The following is a 25,746-nucleotide window of genomic DNA, read 5'->3' as shown; positions in this document are numbered from 1 at the left end:
GGTCTTGATCTCCTGACCTTGTGATCCGCCCGCCTCAGCCTCCCAAAGTGCTGGGATTACAGGCATGAGCCACCACGCCTGGCCATATTTTTAAAGTAGAGATGAGATCTTGCAATGTTGGCCAGGCTGGTCTTGAACTCCTGGCCTCAAGTGATCCTCCCGCCTTGTCCTCCCAAAGTTCTGGGATGACAGTCATGAGCCATCACGCCCAGCTGATAATTATTATTTATACTATAATATTATGTAATATATCATTTCATAATAAGAAGTCTTATTTATGGACTTCTTCCTGCCAGGTACTTTATGTGTATTATCTCATTTACCCCTTAAAGCTTGAGGGAACACACACCCAAACTTCTGTGCCTTCCACCTGACAACCCTTCAGACATTTGTGTTTAGAGTTACAGTAATGACATCAGACACATGTACACACCAAGGTATTCACTCCTGTACACATCAGATTTGAGGGTTCAGCCTCTGCTTTATATGTGTACACACATGTGCCACTGTTCAGCCAGCTTCTGCTGGGGTTAAATGGCTACAGGGAGTCAGACTTCTCCAGACCATTTCCCAATGACTGTGTTCCCATTGGCCCTGCTGCTGCCTATCTCTGCCTGGCAAAATCAGCCTGATTGCTTGGCTTCTTGGGCCCCTGATTTGTGGTGTATCATGGTGTAACTCTGGGTTGTGAGTTAGCTTCCCATCACTCACTCACTAGAGCTGGAACTGCTGAGGGCAGGTTCACCTGGAGGGCTGAAATGCTTCTCTCAGGTACATGGCACAGCCTGCAGAGGGGCTCCTGTGTCTGTAGAAGGTGTGCATGTGGCATGCATCCTGTCTGGAAATCTGCCAGATTACCTGGCTAGCTGCAGTTTCGGGAAGCTATCAGTGAGACTATTGGCCTCTTAGGCTTGCTGCATTTCCCAAAGAGGCAGCCACCTGTGAGGAGTGTGCCTGTGTGTGTACTTCTGTTATCATACTCGCTTACTTGTGGGCAGCATGTCTCAGATAAACTGCAGCCACTCCTCTGAACTGTGGGCACAGATGTGGTGACCAGCCCCTCCGAAGCCTGACTTCATGACCGTGGGGCACCATGGGGGAAGTTTTCATTTTGTTTCAGCCCCTTTATTCTCATTCTGTGGAGGTTACACCTCCAGGACGTGTTTAGGGAGACCTCTGGGGGAGGTAATCTGTCCTGAGTCCATTGGGTAGTCAGTGAGAAGTGCAGTTCTTGAGTGTCACCTGAAGCTCTTCCTTTCTTCTAGCATGGTTTCATCTTACCTCGTGCATCATGGGTATTGTGCCACAGCCACGGCTTTTGCTCGAATGACTGAAACCCCGATTCAGGAAGAACAGGCGTCCATAAAGAACAGACAAAGTAAGGTTTATTCTACTTTCCCCTTTCCCTTCCTCACCTGTCCCTAACTCTGCTCTCTGGCTCATGTCAACCCTGGTTAACCTGTCAGGAGTCCATTCAGCTCTGGTCCTCATGACCAGCTTGCAGCTCGAGGCCATGTTCCTGTCCCACCTTCAAGATGGCACTGCCCAGATGGACAGTTGGCAGGATGGAGACGTCTCAGGGCAGCCTCCCTAATGCACATTCTGAAGGCTGGGCGCAGGCCAGGCCCTGGCATGGCTGGTTCCATTCCTCCATTTCCTCCCTGCTTGTTTCCTTCCCCCTGAATCCTGGATTCCTCTCAACCTCCTGTTCATGGTCTTCCAGGAAGGCTGTTTGCCTGCCTTAGTAGTTCTGCTTATTCCTAGCCAGAGAGGGGACTGAAGTGGTCAGATAGGGCAAAGCCAGTGCTCAATGGCTGCTGTGGGGGCACTACCCTCTGCTCCCCACCACTGGTCCTGCCCTTTGCAGACAACCTAAAGTCCTCCCTTGGCCAGAGCTCTCCCAGTGTTGATGCTGGCCTGGATGCTGTGTGTCTGGAGGCTCTTTCACGGAAGGAGGGGTGTTGGAAAAGAGGAAAAGGAGCCCAGTGAGGAGCTAGAAGGAGAAAAGGAGAATGAGGGCAAGTGGGTGTGGATATGCGTGTCTGTGAGTGCCTGCCTACCCCTCTCCAAGCCTGCTGTCTCTTCTGTATGTGCACGTGTCTGTCTCCCAGAGAAGCTGTGCTCAGCCAGACAGACGGAAAGGGATCCCAGACTTGGGATCTATGAATGAGAGCCTCAGACTCTGAAGTTGCTCCCAGCGAGATGCACCAGGCCCCACGGCAAGAGCGAAAAGGCAGCAGCAAGATGCTGATGGCGTGAGAGGTGTCAACATCAGAGGTGCCAGCATGAGGAGGATGGCCTCCTCTCCCAGCAGGGGGCATGCTGCAGCCCCTGAAGACCACCAGCCAGAGCCCTGGTCAGAAACCAGTGTGATTCCATTGCCATTCCCCTGTGAGGCCTGGAAGGAGAGGAGTCTGTCTGAAGAGGAGCCACTCAGGCCGCCAAGCTGCCTGGGTGCCCATCCCCAGATCATGTTGCCCCAGCTGGGGCCCTACCCTGCCCCCAGGTCCCTGGCACCATGTGCCCCGCAGGAGCAGACCTCCACATTTACCCTCCTGCCTTTGGGCTGAGAGTCTCCCCTCCATCTTCCCCATATTCTTGAGGACTCTCTGACACTTGGCAGAAACCAGGATCTGTTGGGCTGGGCAGTCAGGTTCTTTCTCCAGCCTCCTCTCCTGTGAGCATTTCAAGCTGGCGAGGCACTCTGAGCCGGACCCTACCCTGAGGCTGGCAGCATCCCAGGTGTGTGGCTGTGGGAGAGGCCTGTAGCCCTCGCTCACTGCTGTGTTCTTGCACCCTGCAGAGATCCAGAAGCTGGTGCTGGAGGGCCGTGTGGGCGAGGCCATCGAGACCACCCAGCGCTTCTACCCAGGGCTGCTGGAGCACAACCCCAACCTCCTCTTCATGCTCAAGTAAGTCTTGGGCACCCCCAGCTCCCCCAGAGTCCAGCCCCTCTCAGCTGGTGGTGGGAACGTCAACCTGGACCACAACCAGAGCATTATTGCTCCGCTCCCTCCACAGGTGCCGGCAGTTTGTGGAGATGGTGAATGGGACGGACAGTGAGGTCCGAAGTTTGAGCTCCCGAAGCCCCAAGTCCCAGGACAGCTACCCTGGCTCCCCCAGCCTCAGTCCCCGACATGGCCCCAGTAGTTCCCACATGCACAACACAGGTCAGCCACTCTCCAGAGGGCTCTGGGAAGAACTGGTGTGGAGGAGAGAGGCCACTCCACATACCCTTTCCTGGGCTGGGCTCAGGGCTCACTGCTGGATTTGGGAGAAGGGAAATGGGACCACTGTGGTTGTTCTTGGGGCTTCATTTCATGGGAAGCTGCCCCTCCTCTTCTGACTGTCACCCTGGCTTCTAGGAGCAGACAGTCCCAGCTGTAGCAATGGCGTCGCGTCCACCAAGAGCAAACAGAACCACAGTAAATACCCTGCACCCAGCTCCTCATCCTCGTCCTCCTCCTCCTCCTCGTCCTCTTCCCCATCCTCCGTCAATTACTCCGAGTCCAACTCAACAGACTCCACCAAGTCCCAGCACCACAGCAGTACCAGTAACCAGGAGACCAGGTGCCTGCCTTGCTCTGCTTCCTCCTCTGCCTTCTGCCTTATGCCAGCTGGGCCCATTGCAGTCTGTCCTTTGAGCGCCCTGCCCTTCACCCCCAGCCTCCATCTCAGGTCTGTGCCTGGAGTCCTAATTTTTGGCCCACCGGGCCAGACATCAGCTCTGGCTTCTGGCCCTCCCCACGATTTAGCTGCACTTTCTTTGGCCTTGGCTTTCTCCAGAGGCTCCAATGATGCCAGGCTGAGGATGTGGTCTCCTCCAAAGAGGCCGGGCCTGTGAGAACCCTCAGGGTCCATCATGAGGGAGCTTTCCCTGGCTCTGGCTTGTAGACAGCCAGGTTGGGCAGGCAGGGGAAGCTAAGCCGCAGGCTAGAGCTCTAGGTGGCTCTCAGCATCCCCAGGTACACCTCAAGGCTGACCTGAGTTTGGCTTCCAACCAAGGCCACAGAGCTGCCCATGGGGGCCATGGGGCCCAGTCATTAGGTTGGGGGATATGTAGAAGAGGTGTGTGAACTCAGAGGAGGGCCAGGGAGGGGAGAATCACAGAGGCAGCACTGGGGCAAGGGTGGGAATCAGGTGACAGGCCTCTGAGGATAGCTGGTGTCACAGTAGGGGCCAAGTGCTGAAGACTTGGAAGCCTGAGCTGTCCTTTCATGTTCCTGGGGGTCCTCGGTTCACCCACAGCAACCCATGGCTACAGCTTGAAAGGAGGCCCAACCAGGCTGCTCCAACCACACCCCCTGGGCCAACTCCCACCTCAACCCCTCCCCACAGCGACAGTGAGATGGAGATGGAGGCAGAGCACTACCCCAACGGTGTGCTAGGAAGCATGTCCACACGCATTGTTAATGGTGCCTACAAGCATGAGGACCTGCAGACGGATGAGTCCAGCATGGGTGAGAGCCACGGCCCGGTGTGCTATTCTTTGAGGGCAGTGTGCAGTCTGGGTGCCCTCTTCCCCTGGGAGGGGCTGGGGTAGGCAGGCTTTGGCATCTTGAGAAGCTTCAGCCAGACCTGGTCCACAGCCTCCTTAGCCGATTGTGAATGGGTCCTTGAGGTGGCTCCAAATGTACGAAGGCCCTGGCCTGTGCCAAGACCACCTATGTTTGAGGCTGGAGGGTGTTCGAGAGCATGGGCACCCTAATGAGCACCCTGCGTCTGTGCAGGCTGGGAAGAGGGACAACTTCCAAGTCCTCCCTAAATCCTAGACTGTGCGCCAGGTGAATGAAGAGAAGAACGCCTTGACTGTAGCTGCCTCACCTGTTCCTCCCAGCCCTGCCTGCCTCTGGCAGAAGCTGCAGCCCACCCGGGGTCCTTCCTGCCCCACCCTAGTCCTGCCCTTCCCTCTTCACCCCTCCTAACACGTTCTCCACTGGGTTCTGGATGCAGATGACAGGCATCCTCGGCGGCAGCTCTGCGGGGGCAACCAGGCTGCCACAGAAAGGATCATTCTGTTTGGCCGCGAGTTGCAGGCATTGAGTGAGCAGTTGGGCCGGGAGTACGGCAAGAATTTGGCCCACACAGAGATGCTGCAGGTACAGGATGAGCCGGGCCTCATGCAGAGCAGGCCCCATTTGGTGTTGGGGGCAGGGTGGCTCTGGGAGAGTCCAGGGGGCAGCAGGAAAGAGTGGGCTCCAGCCAGGTCTGCAGAGGGAAGTGGGGCATCTGGGCCCACTGGACATGTGCCCTCCACACCTAGGCTCTGGGGAGAGTACAGCCCTGCCCGACCCTACACCCCACATTCCAGGCTGGGCATCATGCAGGGCCCTGTCTCCCTCTGGAGCCACGGGTAGCAGGGTGAGCTATGGTGTGTGCCACAGTCCTCTCAAGAATGCCCTGTCCTGTAGGATGCCTTCAGCCTGCTGGCATACTCAGACCCCTGGAGCTGCCCAGTTGGCCAGCAGCTTGACCCCATCCAGAGGGAACCTGTGTGTGCTGCCCTCAACAGCGCCATTTTAGGTGAGTGAATCTATTTATTATTATTATTAGAGACAGAGTCTGCTCTGTAGCCCAAGCTGGAGTGCAGTGGCACAATCTTGGCTCACAGCAATCTCCACCTCTGCCTCCTGGGTTTAAGCAATTTTCGTGCCTCAGCCTCCTGAGTAGCTGGGACTAAGGTGCGTGCCACCACGCCTGGCTAGTTGTTGTATTTTTAGTAGAGACGGGTTTTGCCATGTTGGCCAGGTTGGTCTCGAACTCCTGGCCTCAGGTGATCTGCCCGCCTTAGCCTCCCAAAGTGCTGGGATTACAGGTGTGAGCCACCATGCCTGGCCTAGGTGAGTGGATCTAACAAAAACAGAAGCTAGCCCATAGCTACCTGGGTGGTTCCCAACCCCCACCCCAATTGGCCCCAGAAAGAGCTGATGTTTATCCACACTGGGGCAGCAAGCTCTGTACAGGCCCTCTCTGGTGACTCATAGGACTCCTGGGCTCCCATGGTTGAACCTAAACCTTGACCTCTGTCTGCCCAGCTGAGTTCATGATGGGTCCTAGGCCATGGCAGTAGGCCCAGGCCAGCCCAGCGCTCTACATGGGGCTAAGGTCCTCAGGTTCCTGGCATGACTTCAGGGCCATGGCCTGGTGGCTGGGACACACTTACACAGAGGTACTGAACACTCTGTTCCAAGAGAATCTGTCCACTGCCCCCTCCTTCCACCCCCAAGGGAACTTTGACCTGGGCCCAAGCCCTGGGCAGGCCAGTGACCAGGCCTTGTCTTTCCTCCACAGAGTCCCAGAACCTGCCAAAGCAGCCCCCTCTGATGCTCGCCCTGGGCCAGGCATCTGAGTGTCTCCGGCTCATGGCCCGAGCAGGCCTGGGTTCTTGCTCCTTTGCCAGAGTTGATGACTACTTGCACTAGCTGACTGTGCTGGCTGGCTCTGGCTGGCCCTCCACTGGCCCCAGGGCTGGAGCTGCCCTGCCCTCCATAGGCAACTGGTGCAGGGACTGGGAAACCATAGACAGAGTCCACTCCTCCTGCCTGGCCTTTCCCCCTCTCCCTTTCCTTCCTTCCTTCCTTTCTCTGCCCACCACCCCGCTCAGTCTCTCTCTCTCTCCCCTTCACGTGCAGCGGCCTGTAACACAGTATTGGCTGGTTACTCTCATGTAGCGCCTTCTATTTTGAAAGGGGGGTTTTGTTTTGAGGAGGGGTTGGGGTTTTTAAATTTTTTTCTCCTGACTGAGCCACCAGTATTTATCTCTGGAGAGTTTGTGCTGAGCTGGTTTCTGCTAATTTAGTGATGAAGCCTATCCAAGTTGGTGATAGCTTATTATTTTCATAAGTAAAAAACAAATGAGATTATATATATATATATAAAAATATATATATTAAAAAAAAAGACAGTATTTATCGTAGCATTAGTGGTCCAGCACCTCTTGGGTGAGGCTGTCCAGGCACCATGTTTTCTTTGAGTCCAACTCATTAAAAAAGAAGAATCTCTGTCACCTCAGCCAAGTGATTTATTTTTTGCTCCCCCTTTTTTGAGTCACAGGCCGAGCTGCAGCCTAGGAAACCCAAATAGGGTTTGGTGGGCCACTTAGTGGGCATGGTTACATTGGTTTATAGCATCCCAAGAACTGTAGATCCCTAGGCCCCTGAGAGCTGGACAGAGCAGAGAACTACAGGGCCAAGGGTCCAGAGAAGTGATAACTTGGCCCAGGGCCACACAGCAGAGGTAGAGGGTCCTTGGCCAGCACACTATCTACCACTCTACCCCACCTCCCACTGCCTGCCTTGCTCCCCTTTCCTCCCTTTTCAATACCCTATCTTCCCTTGTTGTTAAGATGGCCAAATAATACATTTACTCTAAATTGATTGCCTGGAAACTACCTGCCTTCGTCCTGAGAGCTTCTGTGTGTCAGGCTGCTGGAAAGAAGACTCCATTCCCAGGACAGAGGCCCTTGAGTACAGGGGCTGCTTTCTTCCTGCCTAGATCTTCACCATCTCTGCACAGCTCTGAGAGAATGGATGCTTTCTGTTGAGAAACCAGTACCTTGTGGAGGCAGGTTCTTGGGCTGCTACTCCAGGGAGTGGATGGAATCCTTGGTCCCCTAGGCCAGACTTCACTGCCACTGTGCCAGACAGCTCCCTGCAGCTGGGCCCTAGCCACTCTTAGGAAAGACTATTGGGAGTATTTGCTGGCCAGAGAATGGGACTCTATCAGCTTTACACATGTCCCACCAGCTGTTTCAGATAGATCCTTACAGCTGGCAGAGTAAAAGTGGTCCCGCTACCATTGGGGAATCAGGAAAGGAAAGACTGAGATGGTTGCCAGGACTTGGGGTGGCCCACCTGTGGAGAGGACTGGCTGCCCTGGAGGAGGAAAGGGAGGAAGTCTACACAGAGGAGCACCAGGACGGCTGGAATTTCCATATGTGCTTCACATTGTGAGGGGAGTGCACAAGCCGCCCATGCAAAGAGTAGGGTCAGCCATGGCAAGGCCGGAAGTTGAACTTTCAGTCCCTGCCTGAATCTGGGCTTTGCAAGCTCCTGCTCCATATTGGTGGACATGGGAATGGTTGGTGTGGCCTGAGATACCCATTGCTCACCAGGCCTCACTGGGCCCACAGCTGGGCAACAAGAAAAATGTTTGAATTGGACCAACTGCTGGTGATGGGGCCAGGGCCCTGGGCCCTGTGCTGTCAGAATTCTGCCTTGGGAAATGATCCTATAGCTGCTGCTTTTTCTTGGTCCTTGGGGCTGGCAGACCCATAGACCATGGCCTGTTAGGAGGCGTCCTGTCTGTAAAGGAAATTCATCTCTTGTGACAGCCTGGGGCTACCTAGCTCCCAAACCCAGAAGTTGGAGACATCAGGCTGTTTAAATGATCATAGCCTAGCAGGATTGGATTAAAACCACAGGCTTTTGCAGCTGGAATGGGGTTCAGTGAACATCTCCCCCATTCCTCTCTTGCTACAAATAAGGAAACAGGCCCAGGAGATTAAGTGACTTGGCTAAAGTCACATAGCAAATTAGTAGCAGAGCCGGGACTATCCCTTATCCCTGTGGGTTGGGCAACACTATTTAGTCCTGAAACCGAATGGCAGATAAACCCCATGAGGGGTCAGGCTGATGTGCCCTCCAGCAGTATCTGAGAAGCTGCTACCTTCAGGGGTGTGTCAGGGATGAGGACGGGTGCCTGAGCTTAGGTTGTGGAGTGGCTGAGAGGGCCCAGGAGGGCTCGGGACAGCTGTGTGCTGCATGGGGTTGGGTGTCTGCCTGGCTCGCACTTGGTACCCATGGCCACCTCCCCATTTTCTGTGCCTTATCTCACTGTTTCAGCTGAGTCCAAGTTGTTTACTCTGTTCCTCTCCAGAGGGGCTCTCTGTCCCAGTTGGGCAGCTCACCTTTGGGACATAAGCCTTTGCCCCACAAGCTGTGGAGAGGGCCAAAACCAAGCTGCTTGAGCCCACTCTCTTGCTGAGAGTCCAGGCCTGCCTGCCTGCCAGCCAGAGGTGCCCCTTATGCACATCCAGTCCTACCAGCCTGCTTCCAGGAGCCTAGAGTGGGAAAGGCACCTGGGGGAGCCCTGGTGAAGGGCTGGACCTGACCCATGGAGGCAGGAGGAAGACCTGGCTTTCTTGGTTTGTCCGGCCCTGGGGAGCAGCCTTCCCTACTCACTTTCCCCTTGCGGCACCAAATGGTCACTCCTTCCAGAGCAAAAACTGGCACTCATAGCAAGCCAGAACCCCCATCCCCATCCTCATGGGTCTGTGGCTGGGTGCAGGCCATCAAAATGGACACCACGAGACAGAAGTGGGGACTGCCTGGCCACCTAGCGCCTTCCCACTCCTTAAGCAAGCACAAAGAAGATGAGGCAGAGAATTGTCAGAGCTGAAAGTTCCTTTGGTTGCTCACAACTCAGGTATGCACCCATGTGGCAGCCAGGCAGCGGAGCCCTACTAGACTGCCAGTCTCATGCACCCAGACCTGTGGCCAGATTGTGGCCTCTGGCTGCCTCAGGCATTTTCCTCTTTGCATTGGGTTTTCCTGCATTAGTAACTACAGCTGCAACAGACATCCTCCACATTGTGCACACTGGTTTTGCCTTTGTCCTCAAGAGTTGATACTTGGCATTAGCATGAAACTTGTGGGTGTGGGAGGATGGAGAGAGAACTCTAACACAAAACATCTTATTAAAATTGTACTTGAGAGACAAAAAAAAAACTCTGTTGTATTTTGACAGAATTATTTTTATTAAAATACACATCCATGAGCAGTCATGTGTGTCTGGTCTCTGTTTTGAGTCTTACTGAGGTTGGCACCCCTTCTGTGACACATCCTGTCCTAAAGGATTTGGGCCCTTCCCAGCCTCTCAAGTGCCCAGGCCCTCAGGTGCCTTCTTCAAGGACCTTTGAAACTGTGTATTTGTAAGACCCCAAAGAGGACAGGTACTTAAACCTCAGTTCTCTCTTGAAACGGCTTTCTTCTTATACAAGGAAAAAGTAGCAAATTCAACTAAAGAGCCTGGGCACAGTGGCTCACGCCTATAATCTCAGCACGTTGGGAGGCTGAGGCAGGTGGATCCCTTGAGCTCAGGAGTTCGAGAACAGCCTGGGCAACATGGCAAAACCCCATCTCTACAAAAAATACAAAAATTAGCTGGGCATGGGGGCGCATTCCTGTGGTCCCAGCTATTCAGGAGGCTGAGGTGGGAGGATCACTCGAGCCCAGGAGGTCAAGGCTGCAGTGAGTTGAGATCATACCACTGCACTCCGGTCTGGGTGACAGAGTGAGACCCTGTCTCAAAAAAAAAAAAAAAAAAAATTCAACTAAATAAAGGTGGGCCACAGGAACTTTTCCCCACAAAAATAAGGTATTAAGAATACATTTCAGAGCCAGGTGCAGTGGCTCACCCTGTAATCCCAGCACTTTGGGAGGCCAAGGCAGGCAGATCACCTGAGGTCAGGAGTTTGAGACCAGCCTAGCCAACATGGTGAAACCCCGTCTCTACTAAAAGTACAAAAATTAGCCAGGCGTGGTGGCGGGCGCCTGTAATCCCAGCTACTAGGGAGGCTGAGGCAGGAGAATCGCTTGAACCTGGGAGGCAGAGATTTCAGTGAGCCAAGATCACACCATTGCACTCCAACCTGGGTGACGAGTGAAACTCCATCTCAAAAACAACAACAACAACAACAAAAACATTCCAGGGCCAGGTGCATTGGCTCACGCCTGTAATCCCAGCACTTTGGGAGGCCAAGGCAAGAGGATCGCTTGACCCCAGGAATTCGAGGCCAATCTGGGCAACATAGACCCTGCCTCTACAAAAAATAGAAAAAATTAGCTGGACATGTTGGTGTCTGCCTGTGGTTCCAGCTTCTCAGGAGGCTGAGGCTGGAGGATTGCTTGAGCCTGGGTGGTTGAGGTTGCAGTGAGCCATGATTGCGCCACTGCACTCCAGCCTGGATGACAGAGCAAGGCCCTGCCTAAAAAAATAAAAAATAAAATTCCAAATATGCTCGCCTCAAATACTGCACAGTCAGAAAGTTTTCTGGGGGTACCTCTTTTGAGAGTTTGTTTTTGGGTTTTTTTTTTTTTTTTTTTTTTTTGAGACAAAGTCTTGCTCTCTCTCCCAGGCTGGAGTGCAGTAGCATGATTATGGCTCACTGCTACCTCAACCTCCCAGGCTCAAGTGATCCTCCCACCTCAGCCTCCCAAGTTGCTAAAACTACAGGTATGTGTCACCATGCCTGGCTAAGTTTTGTATATTTTATAGAGAAGTTTCACCATGTTGGCCAGGCTGGTCTCGAACTCCTGGTCTCAAGCAATCCTCCTGCCTTGGCCTCCCAAAGTACTAGGATTACAGGCGTGAGCCACGGCACCCAGCCTGACGGGTATTGAAATTAGCTTCCTGTCTCTTGCCTGAGGAGCAAGAGCTTGTTTCAAAATCCTCGCACCGTTTACTGTGTTAACATGGAAAGTTAACCTCTTTCTCCGAGACTGTTTCCCCATCCTTAAAACATGGTAAATCCTTCTGCCCCGTGGAGGTAGAGGATTATGGCAGATATACAGCAGTGTTTGGCACACAGGGATACACACAGTACACATGAGCATCCTTCCTCCATGAGGATGCCCAGTGGTGTGACTGGCCCACTCCTGCCTGCCCTGTCCCCGAGGCACCAGGGTTTTATGCAGAGGAGGGATACGGTAGATCATGCTGGTGTCCACCTGAAGGTGGTACTGGAGACAAATTGGAGCAAAAGAACCCAGGTAGGAGGCTGCAAAGAGGGCAGGTTTGAGAAAGATTTAGGAGAGAATTGGAGGTACAAGATGAATAACTGAATGTGAGGGAAATAGGAGAAGCAAGAGACAAGGCAAATGCAGACTTTGGTTGGGGGTGATGGGATGGATAATAGTACCACAAAATAACACAGAACAGAAGGGGGCAGGCAGTGGCTAAAAGTCACTGGAATTGGGAGGTTTGCCAGTAAATTAGGGGAGGTTTGCCAGTAAAAAAGTCACTGGAATTGGGAGGTGGTCCAGTAAATTAGGAAAACTGTCTTATGGATGTTCACAGTGATCGCCACCAGCTAATTAAAAGCTCAATCCTGTGTTAAAATGTGTTGCTTAACCCTGCACTTTCCAAACTTAAGTTACTACAGACTGTGTCACTCAGCAGAATCTTACAGGACTATTACTCTATAGAATGCTCTTAGGGAAGAGGTAGCATAAAGGGGAAAATATGGGTTTTAGATTAAGCATAAAGTCCTGGTTCTATATAAGTAAAGCCAGAGTAGGCTCATTTCCCCCTAGACTAGTGGTTCTCAACTGGGAATGATTTTGCTCCCAGGGAGACACTTGGCAATGTCTGGAGATATTTTTGGTAGTCACAACTGGGCTTGGGGTGCTACTGGCATCTACTGGGTAGAGCCAGGGATGCTGCCAAACATCCTACAATGCAGACAGCTCCCCCCACCCCTGCCCAACAAAGAATTATCAGGTCCAAAATGTCAATAGTGCCACTGTTGAGAAATCCTACTCAAGAAGAGTGGAACTCCGAACAATGACTAAGAAACAGATCAAACAGGCACATTTTGACTCTGCCTTCCTTCTGCCTGGCTCTAGAGGATCCAGGAGAGAAAGGATAAAATCCCATCAGAAGAGGGGGGGTTTAGGGGTTACAACTTCTCATCACTTTGGAAGCCTTCCATGCTCCTCACAGAGGTGGTAGGAGTCCTGTCTCCGCTCAAAGCAGGGATAGCTCTGCTGCTAGTTAGCATATCTCAGTAGGAACTGCCTCACGCTTAGGTCAGCTGACATATTCTGTCACCACAGGCTGCTCTGGAATGATGGCTGGGAGATCATCCTAATGCCAGCTGAGTGGGGATCTTGATACTCAGCAGGAGGGTCAGACAAGCAGGGACGGGGGCTCCCCATGCAGATACAAACCCCAATCACATTTCCTACACAGGCAGTTTTATTCTAAGGTCTAACGGCTTCCTTACTCTAGCGGATAGTTTGCTATTTGGTGGGGCATAGGCTTCAGTAAAGAGGCCAAGGGGACTGAGGTTACAGTCTTGAAGAGCACTGATATTTAAGGAACAATCAAAAAACATCCAGAGGAAGAGGAGCCCAGACAGGCACCTGAGAAAACGGAAAAACGAGTCACTGGGGGTCAGGGAGCCAGGAAGTCCGACGAGTTCGAGAGAACTGGCCTTCTGCAGATATGTCCTTGTCCAACACGAAACCGTCTTTCATTCCAGGACAACTGAGGCTACCCACAGCTACCAAAACCTGGTCCCTGACGCCGGTCAGCGGACCGGAGAGAAGCCAAGCTTAGGAAACTGCCGCCTCCGCCGCCGGAAATGAATAACCTGAGCCTCCTAGCCAGGCTGCTTAAGCTCCGCCCCCAAAAAGCGAGCATGCGCAGCTCCCGGCTACGGCCCCTCCCAGCGCAGGCCCATCCCCGTTATGGAGCATGCGCAGTCCTCCTGCCGTCCCGCCCCTCCCTTTCCAGAGCCCCCAGTTCCTTAGAAACCAGGCGGCGCGTTCCCGGTGGCGGCGCCCTGGACTCCCGGGCCCGCGCATCCCCGCCAGCCTTCCTTAAGGCGGATGGGTGGCCCCCGAGACCCCGTCGGACCCATGGTTTCCAGTGCAGCGCGGAGTGGGCGATGCCAGCGTGCCAGGTGAGAGGCGGCCACCGGTGGCGGGTGAGGGCGAAAGAGGGCATGGCGCGGCCGGGAGCGGGCGCCGACAGGGCCTTCTCCGCGGCCCGGCGCCGGAGGTTGGAGGCGTGGACCCGCAGAGCCGGGGTTGGAGGGGGCTTGTTCCAACTGCCTGCAGGCGCGTGGAGTGGAGGGTCGCCTTGGGATTCGCCCTTTCCACCGCAGAAATAGGACCCGCAGGCTTGGTGGTAGAATTATAGGATTTGGGATCCTGGAAGAACCTGAGACATAACCCATCCTTTTACCAGATGCAAAAACCTAGTCTCCCCCGCCCTGTGCCGAGCGGACCACCTGACTGTGTGAGGATGGACGCTTTGTGGATGAGGATGTGTGAGGTGTAGAAGCTCAGACAAAGGGCTCGTGGGGTAGCTGGTTCGTCCCCTTTCAGAATGAGATGGGACTTTTGGGGATAAATCTTTAAGAAACGGGTGTTCAGTTGACAGGTGGAAGAAGGGACACCCCAGAAGGTGCGAGTGGCTCTGCCAGCTCCCATGTGCCCTATGGCCACGTCTCAATGGCCCTGGCCTACCTTTGTATTTGTAGCTCTGGAAGGAAGCAGATGGACTTGAGACAAAAGGTGAAGTGAGGTCTTCCCATCAAGGCCCTATCACACTTAAAAGGTGAGGGAGGAAGAGTGGACAGGGACATGAGGGCTTGGGAATGGTTGTGTGAAGAGTTTACCCTCCAGACTACAGCACGATCTAAAGAACAAGGCAGGATAGAAGAGTTGAAAGCTGTATTGGATAGGCATCAGGGAAGCTTATTTAACTGTCTTATTTATGTTCATTGTTCCCATAATGTTATCCTGAGGGCAAGAAAGTGGATGTCCTTTTAAATGTCCAGAAAGAACTAGGGCAGGGCACCACCTTTGTGATCTGTGGGGCCCAAAAGCCTCTAAAGGAATAGCCCTTAGTGTGTGGCCCTTAAGTTGAAGGGAACAGCATTTAATTTAGAAAAGGAAGGCACTTAAATTTATTGTGATATGGAGCAATATAGAGAAGATGGTTGTTTTTGAGTCGGGGAAGCTAGATTCATTCTTGATAAGGAAACTTATTTCCTTCTGGAAAGCTACACTAGAGAACAAAAGAGTTTTAAGGCCATCCATTTTACAGGAAACGTGAAAAAATTAACTGCTTTGGGATTGGGAGTTTAGAGAACCTGCCTGGACCAAGAGAGGAAATTTTCAACAGACGGTTCTGTTGGTCGAATCCTTATTTCACAGATAAAGATTCTGTTGTGAGAGGTTATCTCTTACCACCTGGTTTTCCCACTTTGCCATGGAATAATCATTGGTCTGGGTCTAATTCTCTATCTATCTATCTATCTATCTATCGAGACGGAGTCTCACTCTGTCACCCAGACTGGAGTGCAGTGGTGCGATCTCGGCTCACTGCAATCTCCGCCTCCCAGGTTCAAGCGATTCTCTGGCCTCAACCTCCTGAGTAGCTGGGACTACAGGCATGTACCACCACGCCCAGCTAATTTTTGTATGTTTAGTAGAGAAGGGGTTTCACCATGTTGGCCAGGCTGGTCTTGAACTCCTGACCTCAGATGATCTGCCTGCCTTGGCCTCCCAAAGTGCTGGGATAACAGGTGTGAGCCACCACACCCAGCCCTCATTATTATTTTTATTTGCTAGGGCAATTGCTATCTGATTTCTATAGTAATACTAGAACACATTGGTAGTAGAACTAGCAATTTTTTAGAAAGCCTCCTCTGACCCAAAACTTAAAAATTAGAACTATGTGATTTTTAAAAGATGGTCCCTGATTCTAATCATCAAAGTCAGTTTGTCCCTAGCTTGATAAAAACTAATTTTCTATTTACATTTGACTTTGCAGCAGGTTTTTCCCCTTGCCCTTATAAGAAGATACATTGGAAGTATAATAATGTTAACAGGTGAAATCAGTTTAAAGAAGAAAGCTTTGGGCCGGGCGCAGTAGCTCATGCCTGTAATCCTAGCACTTTGAGAGACCAAGGTGGGTGGATCACCTGAGGTCAGGAGTTTGAGACCAGCCTCACCAACATAATGAAACCCCGTCTCTACTAAAAATACAAAATTATCGGGGCATGGTGGTGCACGCCTGTAATCCCAGCTACTTGGGAGGCTGAGGCAGGAGAATCGCTTGAACCTGGGAGGCAAAATTTGCAGTGAGTCGAGATCGCGCCATTGCACTCCAGCCTGGACAAGAGCTAAACTCTGTTTCAAAAAACAAAAAAAGAAGAAGAAAACTTTGTCTTGGCTTCATAATTCAGCATCATACCATAACTATGGGTATTGTGACTGTGCTTTTTACCAACTTTTCTTGCACCTGTGGGGTTATTTTGTATAAATACCTCAGGAGTTATAATGGGGCATTATCAAAAGCAAATGTAACCTCTGGGGAAAATCAGTACTGTTAACCAAATTCTGTCAGAAAGGCTTCATGAAAATCATTGTGTTCTGTGCAGAAACCTTCATTACTTTCACGTTGACCCAGAGGAAGGTAAGACAAGTAGGCCAAAATCAAGTCAAGGTAAAATGGAAGGGAGCAGTTGCCACCTGTGGAACTGGATGGACTGTGGGAGGGTGTTTTGAACGTGGGCACAAATACTTTGAATGAGCTTTTGGAGAGGGTACTGCTTAAATACGGCTGTGGTGTGACCTGTGGATTTGTGTGAGTTTTCTGAACTCCAATCAGAAAAACACTTGTTTTCAGAGAAAGGTAGACTTACAGAGGACTCTCAAAAGTCCTGGTTGCTATGACAGTGAAACCTTTGACAAATAATTACTTAACTTCTATGCCATTTTCTGGAGCAGCTGAGGGCAGTTATCATATCTGGCCTGTAATAAAGTAATCAACAGTGTTTGACAGGCCAACCATGAGGAAACCCTACCAGATAAACCAGCAATGCTAATAGAAGCTACTTTCACTGAACTGATTTTCTAGTTTTCCCATAAGAGGAGAAATGGAATGGGGATGCAATGTCATCTGATGTTAGAAGTTGAAATGCAGAGGTCGGTGTTCAGAAAACACAGGATCAGAGAGACCACTAACTTAGAAATAGGAAAAGTGCCTTTCTGATGCCTGAAAAGTCACTCATGCATATTTATTTTTAAATGTTTATTCATTTTTGAGACAGGGTCTTGCTCTGTCACCAAGCCTGGAGTACAGTGGCGTGATCACAGCTCACTGCAGCCTCTGACTCCTGGGCTCAAGTGATCCTCCCACCTCAGCCTCCTGAGTAGCTGGGACCACAGGTGCATGCCACCATAGACAGCTAATAAAACAAGTTTTTTTTTTTTTTGTAGAGATGGGGGTCTCTATAACAGGGGGTCCAATTCTAGAACAAATCCACAATTGGAATTAGAGTACATCTAGGAAAGAATGGAATTGGAGATTTTGCTATTTTTGAGAACTTATATACAGTATAGTAATGGAACATTATCTTTCTTGCATTCAAAAGTAGTAGATTTATATTAGCAAACTTAAAAGCAAACTGAAATTTGGAGTCTAAAAGTCCTTATTACTTGAAAATTTAAATGGCAGGTGTTTTAAAAAGTGAGAATGAAAGACACTTGAAAAGCTTGGGTTCATGAAAGTTAGAATGGTAGGAGATACTGAGAAAAACATGAAAGCAGGAAGAATTCCCTACACTCTAACACCTCCTTATAAATTAGACATTGGGTTGGGAATGAGCTCACTGAAGTACCTTGTCTTCAAAGACAAAAAAAAATTTTCTCTCATGGTGATGTGAATAAACACTTAGAAAATATGGATTAGAGCCAGGCGCGGTGGCTCATGCCTGTAATCCCAGCACTCTGGGAGGCTGAGGCAGGTGGATCGCCTGAGGTCAGGAGTTGGAGACCAGCCTGGCCGACATAGTGAAACCCCGTCTGTACTAAAAATACAAAAAATTAGCTGGGTGTGATGGCGGGTCCCTGTAATCCTAGCTACTAGGGAGGCTGAGGCGGGAGAATTGCTTGAACTCGGGAGGCAGAGGTTGCAGTAAGCCAAGATCGTGCCATTGCACTCTAGCCTGGGCAACAAGAGCGAAAGTACGTCTCAAAAAAAAAAAGAAAGAAAATATGGATTAAACATTAAGAAGGAAGAATCGAATATTTCCATGTTACTTAGTACCCTTGAACCCTGTCCTTAAGCACTTGTTTGCTAGCTCCTGCTCTTAGAAAGGAATTGCAAGTAGTGTTTTTGTCCAAGGTACTGTCATTTCTCAAGGTAGCCAGTGATAAAATGTATATACTCTTTGGGACCCTGGATAGTCCTGAAATTCGTGGGAACATAGCTCACTCTCTCTGCCACCTTTCTAAGTCATTCCCAAGAGCTTCTGTAAAGATTTCTATCAGTCCTCTATAATCAAGGATTTGGAATGAAGACTGTGAAAAATGGGAACTGAGTACTTAGTGTGGTCTTCCTTTCTGGCCTGGGATAACTGTGCTACTCTCAAATTGTCAGCTCTCAATTTCTCATGAGAATAGATAACCCCAAAATAGAACCCAAAACACTTCTACTTGGCTTTGAGATTTTACTGTATCACTTTATAACCTCAAAATCTTTATTATTTACTTTCATAATTGTATTTTACTTAGGATGATAACCTTAGGCAAATCGTGTAATTTCTGGATCGTAATTTTTTTTTTTTTTTTTTTTTGAGACAGTGTTTCTATCTCCCAGGCTGGAGTGTAGTGGCACAATCCCGGCTCACTGCAATGTCCACTTCTGGGTTCAAGCGATTCTTGTGCCTCAGCCTCCCGAGTAGCTGGGATTACAGGTGTGCGCCTTCATGCCTGGCTAATTTTTGTATTTTTAGTAGAGATGGGGTTTCGTCATGTTGGCCAGGCTGGTCTTGAACTCCTGGCCTCAGTGATCGGCTCACCTCAGCCTCCCAAAGTGCTGGGATTACAGTTGGGAGTGACCCTGCCTGGCCTCTGGACCATAATTTCTTAACCTGTATAACAGGAAGCAAAATGAAAATGTCATAAATGTGTAACACTAGAGAATGAAAAGCTAGTTCATACGGTCAGTGGCTGTGATATTGTGAAATACATATTTGGTCTTCTGTCTCTGTTTCCTGGCATGCAATTTCAATAGGTTGGTGCAAAAGCAATTGCAGATTTTGCCGCAAAGTAATGGCAAAAACCGCAGTTGCTTTTGCACCAACCAAATCCCTGGAATCTCCTGAGTGATGGTTTTTTGTATGCTAATGAGTTAACTGGTGGCTGGCAGCTCCTGGGTAGTTTCAGGCTGGGGACTGGTCATAGGAAACATCAAAGCATGATTAGAGGGTTGTGACTTTCAGCCCCACTCTGCAACCTCTGGGGAGGAGAGTGGGACTGAAGGTTAAGTTGATCGTCAATGGCCAGTGGTTTAATCAATCATGCCTAGTTAATGAAGCCTCCATAAACACAGGGAGGGCATGAAAGCTCCAAGCCCCTTCCCCCATACCTTGCCCTATGCACCTTCTTCATCTCTATCCTTTGTAATATTCTTTATAATAAACCAGTAAATATAAGTAAGTGTTTCCCAGAGTTCTGTGAGCTGCTCTAGCAAATTAGTTGATCTGAAGGAGGGAGTCATAGGATCTCCAGTCTGTAGCCCATCAGGCAGAGGCACAGTTGAAACAACCTGGGGCTTTTGATGGCATTGGAAGTCGGGAAGGGGAAGTCTGTGGGACTGAGCCCTCTACCTGGGGGATCTGATGCGATTCTCCAGGTAGATATCGTCAGAATTGAATTGAAGGACACCAGCAGGTGTTGACTGCAGAATTGCTTGCTTGCTTGGTGTGTGGGGAGAAACCCCCACACATTTGGTCTTCTGTGTTGATTATTGTGGTGTGAAAGCAGAGGAAAAACAATTTGAATTTGTCTTTCCACTTTCACAATGACATACCTGTTATGTAACCCATAAAACTATTTATGATAACATGAAAGATGCTTATGTCTGGCCAGTGTGGCGGCTCACGCCTGTAATCCCAGTACTTTCGGAGGCCGAGGTGGGCGGATCACTTGAGGCCAGGAGTTCAAGACCAGCCTGACCAAGATGGCGAAACCCTGTCTCTATAAAAAATAAAAAAAATTAGCTGGGTGTGGTGGTGCATGCCTGTAGTCCCAGCTACTCAGGAGGCTGAGGCAGGAAAATCACTTGAACTTGAGCGCCCAGCAGAGGCGCTCCTCACATCCCAGACAGGGCGGCGGGGCAGAGGTGCTCCCCACATCTCAGACGATGGGCGGCCGGGCAGAGACGCTCCTCACTTCCTAGATGGGATGGCGGCGGGGAAGAGGCGCTCCTCGCTTCCCAGATGGGATGGCGGCCGGGCAGAGACGCTCCTCACTTTCCAGACTGGGCAGCCAGGCAGAGGGGCTCCTCACATCCCAGACGATGGGTGGCCAAGCAGAGACGCTCCTCACTTCCCAGACGGGGTGGCGGCCGGGCAGAGGCTGCAATCTCGGCTCTCCGGGAGGCCAAGGCAGGCGGCTGGGAGGTGGTTGCAGCGAGCCGAGATCACGCCACTGCACTCCAGCCTGGGCACCATTGAGCACTGAGTGAACGAGACTCCATCTGCAATCCCGGCACCTCGGGAGGCCGAGGCTGGCGGATCACTCGCGGCTAGGAGCTGGAGACCAGCCCGGCCAACACAGCGAAACCCCGTCTCCACCAAAAAAAAAACGAAAACCAGTCAGGCGTGGCGGTGCGCGCCTGCAATCGCAGGCACTCGGCAGGCTGAGGCAGGAGAATCAGGCAGGGAGGTTGCAGTGAGCCGAGATGGCAGCAGTACCGTCCAGCCTTGGCTCGGCATCAGAGGGAGACCGTGGAGGGAGAGGGAGAGGGGGAGGGGGAGGGGGAGGGGGAGAGGGAGAGGGAGAGGGAGCTCTTTATTACATTTTTAAACATTGCAAGAGCCTACTGATGGTTTTGGTGAGCTCAGTATATATGGTTTTCTATAGTATGGTTTTGATGGGCTCAGTATATATGTCTTAGTTTATTGACTGTGCAGGAACTAGGTCTGAAATCTTTCATTCTTTCAGCAAATATTTAGCACCAACTACATGTCAGACCTTGTTTTAGGCACTAGGGATATAGCAATGAACAAAACAGACAAAAAATTTGTTGTCTTCAAGGAGGATACATTCTAGCAGGGATGGTGGGGAGAGACAAACAATGGAAGAATACACCTGTTTCTGAAAAGCCAACATGGAAGTAGAGACCTGAAGGAAACGTGAGAGAGAGAGAGAAAGCCACGTGGATGTCTGCACAATAGAGGTTCTTGGATGCAGGGTATATTTTGAAGGTAGAGAGCCAGCAAGACTTGTTAATGGATCAGATGTGAAGTGTGAGAGAAAAAGAAGACTCAAGGATAACTCCAAGGTTTTAACTTGAGCATTTGAAAAGTTTGTGTTACCAGTTTCTGAGATGAAGGCATTGTGGGAAGAGTATGTTTGGTGGGGAGAAACATCAGGAGTTTAGTTCTGGACATTTTAAGTGTGAGATGCCTATTAAACATCCAAGTAGAGATGTTAATAGGCGGTTGTTTGCACCCGTCTGGAGCTTAAAGAGGACCTGGCTGATAACTTTGGGAGTCATCAGGGAATAGATAACATTTAAAAGCCATGACACTGAATGGAACCACCAAGGGAGTGAGTATAGATAGAAAAGAGAAATAGACTGGGGACTGAGCCATGGTTACTACAGTCACCATCAGGAGAAATGAGCAGAAGGAACCGAGAAGTGGTCAGAGAGGTAAGAGGAAAATCAGAAGAAATTTGTGTTGTGGAAGTCGGGTGAAGAGTGTTTCAAGGAGGTTGGAACCTGCCATGTCAGATGCTGCTGATAGGTCAAAGTGGGATGAAGGTGAGAATTGACCACTGGATTTAATTGTATTTGACAAAGATGAGATAGCTGAAGCTTGGTTATTTGTAGTATGATTTACAACCAATAATCCAGGGTTTTCAGCCATGATGCCTGAACACAGAGCATCATGAGAGAGTTGCATAATTGCAGTTTGAAGTTCTGAACATTGTACTTTTCCTTCCTACCTCTTTTGGAGTCTTCATTCTGAAGAAATGCTTTTGGGTCTGGTTACTGCTCTGGGGAAGGGGAGTGTCTGTTAATCACAAATTGGGTTTTTAATGACATTGGGCTGCTGTGCCTTTTACTGCACAACCAATGTCAATGTTTGGGTTTTTTTCATGGTGATGAAGACTTTATTCAGGACCATGGCGGCAGGTATAGGTACCTCTGCAATGAGTCTTGCAGTTGGGGAGAGAGACTGAGCTCAACTCTGAATAGAGCACAGCAAGTGGGGATTGATAGTCAAGGAGCAGGGTAGGGGTCAGTGGATAGAAAATGACTCACAATGTCAGTGTTTTTATCGTAATTGAGCCTCAGAGTGTGAAACCTTTCTCACGTGGAACTCAAAGTGCATTATAAATCTGTCATTGAACACTTTTAAAAATAAGGCTAACTGGCCGGGCGCGGTGGCTTATGCCTGTAATCCCAGCACTTTGGGAGGCTGAGGTGGGTGGATCACGAGGTCAGGAGATCGAGACCATCCTGGCTAACACGGTGAAACCCCGTCTCTACTAAAAAACAAAAAATTAGCCGGGCATGGTAGCAGGCGCCTGTAGTCCAGCTACTCGGGAGGCTGAGGCAGGAGAATGGCGTGAACCCGGGAGGCGGAGCTTGCGGTGAGCTGAGATCGCACCACTGCACTTCTCCACTTCGTCTCAAAAAACAAAGGCTAACTTTGGGAGGCCAAGGCGGGCAGATCACTTGAGGTGAGGAGTTTGAGACCAGCCCGGCCAACATGGTGAAACCCGGTTTCTACTAAAAATACAGGGCTGGCGTGGTGGCTCATGCCTATAATCCCAGCACTTTGGGAGGCCTAGGCAGGAGGATCATTTGAGCCCAGGAGTTCGAGGCTACAGTAAGCTATGATCGCCCCACTGCACTCCGGCCTGACCAACAGAGCAAGACCCTGTCTCTAAAAAAATAATAAATAAAAATACAAAAAAAATTAGCTGGGTGTCGTGGCTCACAGTTGTATCCCAGGTACTCGGGAGGCTGAGGCAGGAGAATCATTTGCACCCAGGAAACAGAGGTTGTGGTGAGCCAAGAGTGCACCACTGCACTCCAGCCTGGGTGACAGAGTGACACTCTGTCCCCAAAAAATAAAAAATAGATAAACATAAGGCTAATTTGGCTGGGCACGGTGGCTCACGCCCGTAATCCCAACACTTTGGGAGGCTGAGACGGGCGGATCACTTGAGGACAAGAGTTGAATACCAGCCTCAAGACCAGCCTGGGCAATATGGGAAACCCCGTCTCTACCAAAAATACAAAAAAAATAGCTGGGTGTGGTGGCATGTGCCTGTGGTCCTAGCTACTCAGGGGGCTGAAGTGGGAGGAATGCTTGAACCCAGGAGGCAGAGGTTGCAGTGAGCTGAGATCATGCCACTGCACTCCAGCCTGGTGACAGAGTGAGACTCCATTATAATAATAATAAGGCTAATTTATATCCTGCTGAGTCTCTCATAGCACCATTCTTTTCCTTTATAGCATTTAATCTCAAATCATAATTACATATTTATGTGATTATTTGATTATCTTATCTCTCCTCCTAGACTGTACACTCTTTGCAAGCAGAAACTATATCTGTTTGGCTTACTGAAGTATCCTGCACTTTGCTGAGGCCTGGCTCATAGTCTGTGCTTAATAAGTATTTATTAATCAATCTACATAAATTACAGGTGTCATTTTATACACAAGCACCTAAAACACCTAATCAGCCTAGCTAATGTCCCAATCTTTTTTTTTTTTTTCTTTTGAGATAGGCTCTGTTGCCCAGGCTGGAGTACAGTGGTGCAATCACAGCCCACTGCAGCCTTGACCTACTGGGCTCAAGAGATCCTCCCACCCCAGTCTCCTCTCCTGAGTAGCTGGGACTACAGGTTTGTGCCACCATGCCTAGCTAATTTTTGTATTTTTTGTGGAGAAGGAGTTTTGCCATGTTGCCCAGGCTGGTCTCAAACTCTTGGGCTCAAGTGATCCACTTGCCTCGGCCTCCCAAAGTCCTGGGATTACAGGTGTGAGCCACTGCTCTCAGCCCTACAGTTTGTTTTAAGTTAGGTTGAGGATCTGTCTCACTTCATAACTAGGGCCGTGACCCTCACCTCTGGCCCCAGTGCTTTATATTAGGATGAAATTACTGAAAAGAATTCACAGAAAAATCAAATTATCAAATGAGTCTTATTTGCATTTCAAATAAAGGGAATTCTACAGTATGGGTCTTGACACTGGCCTTTTGGAATGTGCCTGAGGGGACAGAGGTGTGCATCAAGTCTGTGGAGGTGCCTCTCAGGATGCAGTGCTCTGGAAGGTGTGGGGCTGGATCTGGGGCTAGTCTCATGGTGAGTGGCCCTTGAGGCACAGTGGAGGCTGACACTAAGTGAGGGCTTGCCACTCTTTCAGTGCCAAGTCTTATTGCCCAACCTGTATAGCTACAACTGCAAACTGATACATACCAATGCTCTATGAATAGCCATCATTAAATTTGCTTGCCAGAAATGATACGGGAGAACCCCTTTTGAACCCTCCCTTCCTCAGTATGAGTTGTTCATGAGTGGTGAGGACTTCCTAACATCTGGAGCTCAGCCACTCACCCAGTGTGACACACTGCCCAGGGAAAAGTGCCATCTTCAGATACGCTCAGCAAGTGCTGGGATTCACCAGCCTACTGGGCCTTAGCTTGAAGTTTCTTTCTCAGAAAACTTATTCTCTTGGCCCCAGCCTGTACCGATGATGTCCCCAAAAGTAAGCTTACAGGTTTTTTTGTTTTGTTTTAAAGGAAAGAGACTTCTAATTCACACATATCCATTTAGTTTGATTACAGAACTGAATTTGCAAGGTGTGAACAGGTTGTTCTATGTCCTTGGGCACAACTACTTAAGGTGATTAAAAATTAAGGTATAATTTACATACAATTAAAAACACAGATCTTAAATATTCAATTTGATGAGTTTTGACAGTTGTACCACCATGTAACCCAAGCACCAAACAAGATACAGAACATTTCCATCACTCTAGAATGTAGCCTTGTGCCTCTTTCTGTTCGATTCCCTCCGCCTCAGCCACCACCGCCACTGCCGCCTTCTGACTAGTGTTGCTATAAATAAGGCTGGCTTATTCCTGAATTTCAAAAAAGTGGAATTCTACAGTATGGGTCTTCTGTGTGTGGGCCTGCCATCTTTCACTCTACATAATGTTTTTAAGATTCATACAGGCTAGGCGAGGTGGTTCATTGTAATCCCAGCACTTTAGAAGACTGAGGCAGGGGGATCACTTGAGGCCAGCAGGTTGAGACCAGCCTGGGCAACACAGTGAGACTCACATCTCTACAAAAAAATTAATAAAATTTTTAAAAAGAAAAAAATTCATTAATAGTTAATTCCTTTTTACTGTTTTACTGTATTCCATTGTGTGACATCATAATTTATGATGTGAACATTTGTTTCTAGTGTGGGGCCATTATGAATAAGGCTGCTGTGAACATTTGTATAATTTTTTTTGTGGACTTATGTTTTTATTTTCTTAGATAAATATCTATAAGTGGAGTTGCTGTGATTGGGTTGATATATGTTTAACTATAAGAAACTGTCAATTTTCCAAAGTGGTTGTACTGTTTTACATTCCCACCAAGAATGTATGGGAGTTCCATTTGCCGCATATCCTCTCCAAACTTCAGGATTGTAAGTCTTTTTTTTTTTTTTTTGAAATGGAGTTTCACTCTGTGGCCCAGGCTGGAGTGCAATGGCGCGATCTTCACTCCCTGCAACCTCCGCCTCCTGGGTTCAAGCAATTCTCCTGCCTTAGCCTCCTGAGTAGCTGGGATTACAGGCATGCACCACCACACCAGGCTATTTTTGTATTTTCAGTAGACATGGGGTTTCACCATGTTGGCCAGGATGGTCTTGAACTCCTGACCTCAGGTGATCCACCCATCTTGGCTTCCCACAGTGCTGGGAT

General features: G+C 49.8%; 2 protein-coding genes across 13 annotated transcripts in view, besides 5 other annotated features; both read left to right on the top strand.

Moving 5' to 3' along the window:
- RANBP10 (RAN binding protein 10) overlaps positions 1 to 9,780 on the top strand; it is an 83,491-nt gene extending 73,711 nt beyond the window's left edge. For 7 of the 10 annotated variants that reach the window (NM_001320238.2, NM_001320239.2, NM_001410883.1 and 4 more), the window contains 8 exons: positions 1,266 to 1,378; positions 2,804 to 2,912; positions 3,022 to 3,170; positions 3,366 to 3,570; positions 4,249 to 4,460; positions 4,954 to 5,099; positions 5,412 to 5,523; positions 6,292 to 9,780. In NM_001320238.2, coding sequence (NP_001307167.1) covers positions 1,266 to 1,378; positions 2,804 to 2,912; positions 3,022 to 3,170; positions 3,366 to 3,570; positions 4,249 to 4,460; positions 4,954 to 5,099; positions 5,412 to 5,523; positions 6,292 to 6,422 — 1,177 coding nt within the window. In that variant the 3' untranslated portion in view covers positions 6,423 to 9,780. The remainder of the gene's footprint in view (positions 1 to 1,265; positions 1,379 to 2,803; positions 2,913 to 3,021; positions 3,171 to 3,365; positions 3,571 to 4,248; positions 4,461 to 4,953; positions 5,100 to 5,411; positions 5,524 to 6,291) is intronic. The other 3 variants (NM_020850.3, NM_001320240.2, XM_047434408.1) reach the window with 1 other exon arrangement.
- GFOD2 (Gfo/Idh/MocA-like oxidoreductase domain containing 2) overlaps positions 13,534 to 25,746 on the top strand; it is a 44,781-nt gene continuing 32,568 nt past the window's right edge. For all 3 annotated transcript variants that reach the window (NR_027398.2, NM_030819.4, NM_001243650.2), the window contains exon 1: positions 13,534 to 13,687. The gene's annotated coding sequence lies outside the window, so the exon portion shown is untranslated. The remainder of the gene's footprint in view (positions 13,688 to 25,746) is intronic.
- Positions 13,617 to 13,666: a silencer, noted in NCBI's record as "silent region_7624". NCBI's record gives its function as "represses an Ori minimal core promoter by ATAC-STARR-seq in GM12878 lymphoblastoid cells {active_cell/tissue: GM12878}" and the evidence as "EXISTENCE:reporter gene assay evidence [ECO:0000049][PMID:35858748]".
- Positions 13,727 to 13,776: a silencer, noted in NCBI's record as "silent region_7623". NCBI's record gives its function as "represses an Ori minimal core promoter by ATAC-STARR-seq in GM12878 lymphoblastoid cells {active_cell/tissue: GM12878}" and the evidence as "EXISTENCE:reporter gene assay evidence [ECO:0000049][PMID:35858748]".
- Positions 14,137 to 14,216: an enhancer, noted in NCBI's record as "active region_10981". NCBI's record gives its function as "activates an Ori minimal core promoter by ATAC-STARR-seq in GM12878 lymphoblastoid cells {active_cell/tissue: GM12878}" and the evidence as "EXISTENCE:reporter gene assay evidence [ECO:0000049][PMID:35858748]".
- Positions 21,964 to 22,741: an enhancer, noted in NCBI's record as "H3K4me1 hESC enhancer chr16:67744012-67744789 (GRCh37/hg19 assembly coordinates)". NCBI's record gives its function as "activates a minimal SCP1, AML or CMV promoter by ChIP-STARR-seq in primed H9 embryonic stem cells {active_cell/tissue: H9 hESC(primed)}" and the evidence as "EXISTENCE:reporter gene assay evidence [ECO:0000049][PMID:30033119]".
- Positions 22,742 to 23,520: an enhancer, noted in NCBI's record as "NANOG-H3K4me1 hESC enhancer chr16:67743233-67744011 (GRCh37/hg19 assembly coordinates)". NCBI's record gives its function as "activates a minimal SCP1, AML or CMV promoter by ChIP-STARR-seq in primed H9 embryonic stem cells {active_cell/tissue: H9 hESC(primed)}" and the evidence as "EXISTENCE:reporter gene assay evidence [ECO:0000049][PMID:30033119]".

This window comes from Homo sapiens, chromosome 16 (genome assembly GCF_000001405.40).
Source record: "Homo sapiens chromosome 16, GRCh38.p14 Primary Assembly".
Classification (NCBI taxonomy): domain Eukaryota; kingdom Metazoa; phylum Chordata; class Mammalia; order Primates; family Hominidae; genus Homo; species Homo sapiens.
Note: the sequence above shows the minus strand (reverse complement) of the source record. Positions and strands in the feature narration are given on the sequence as shown.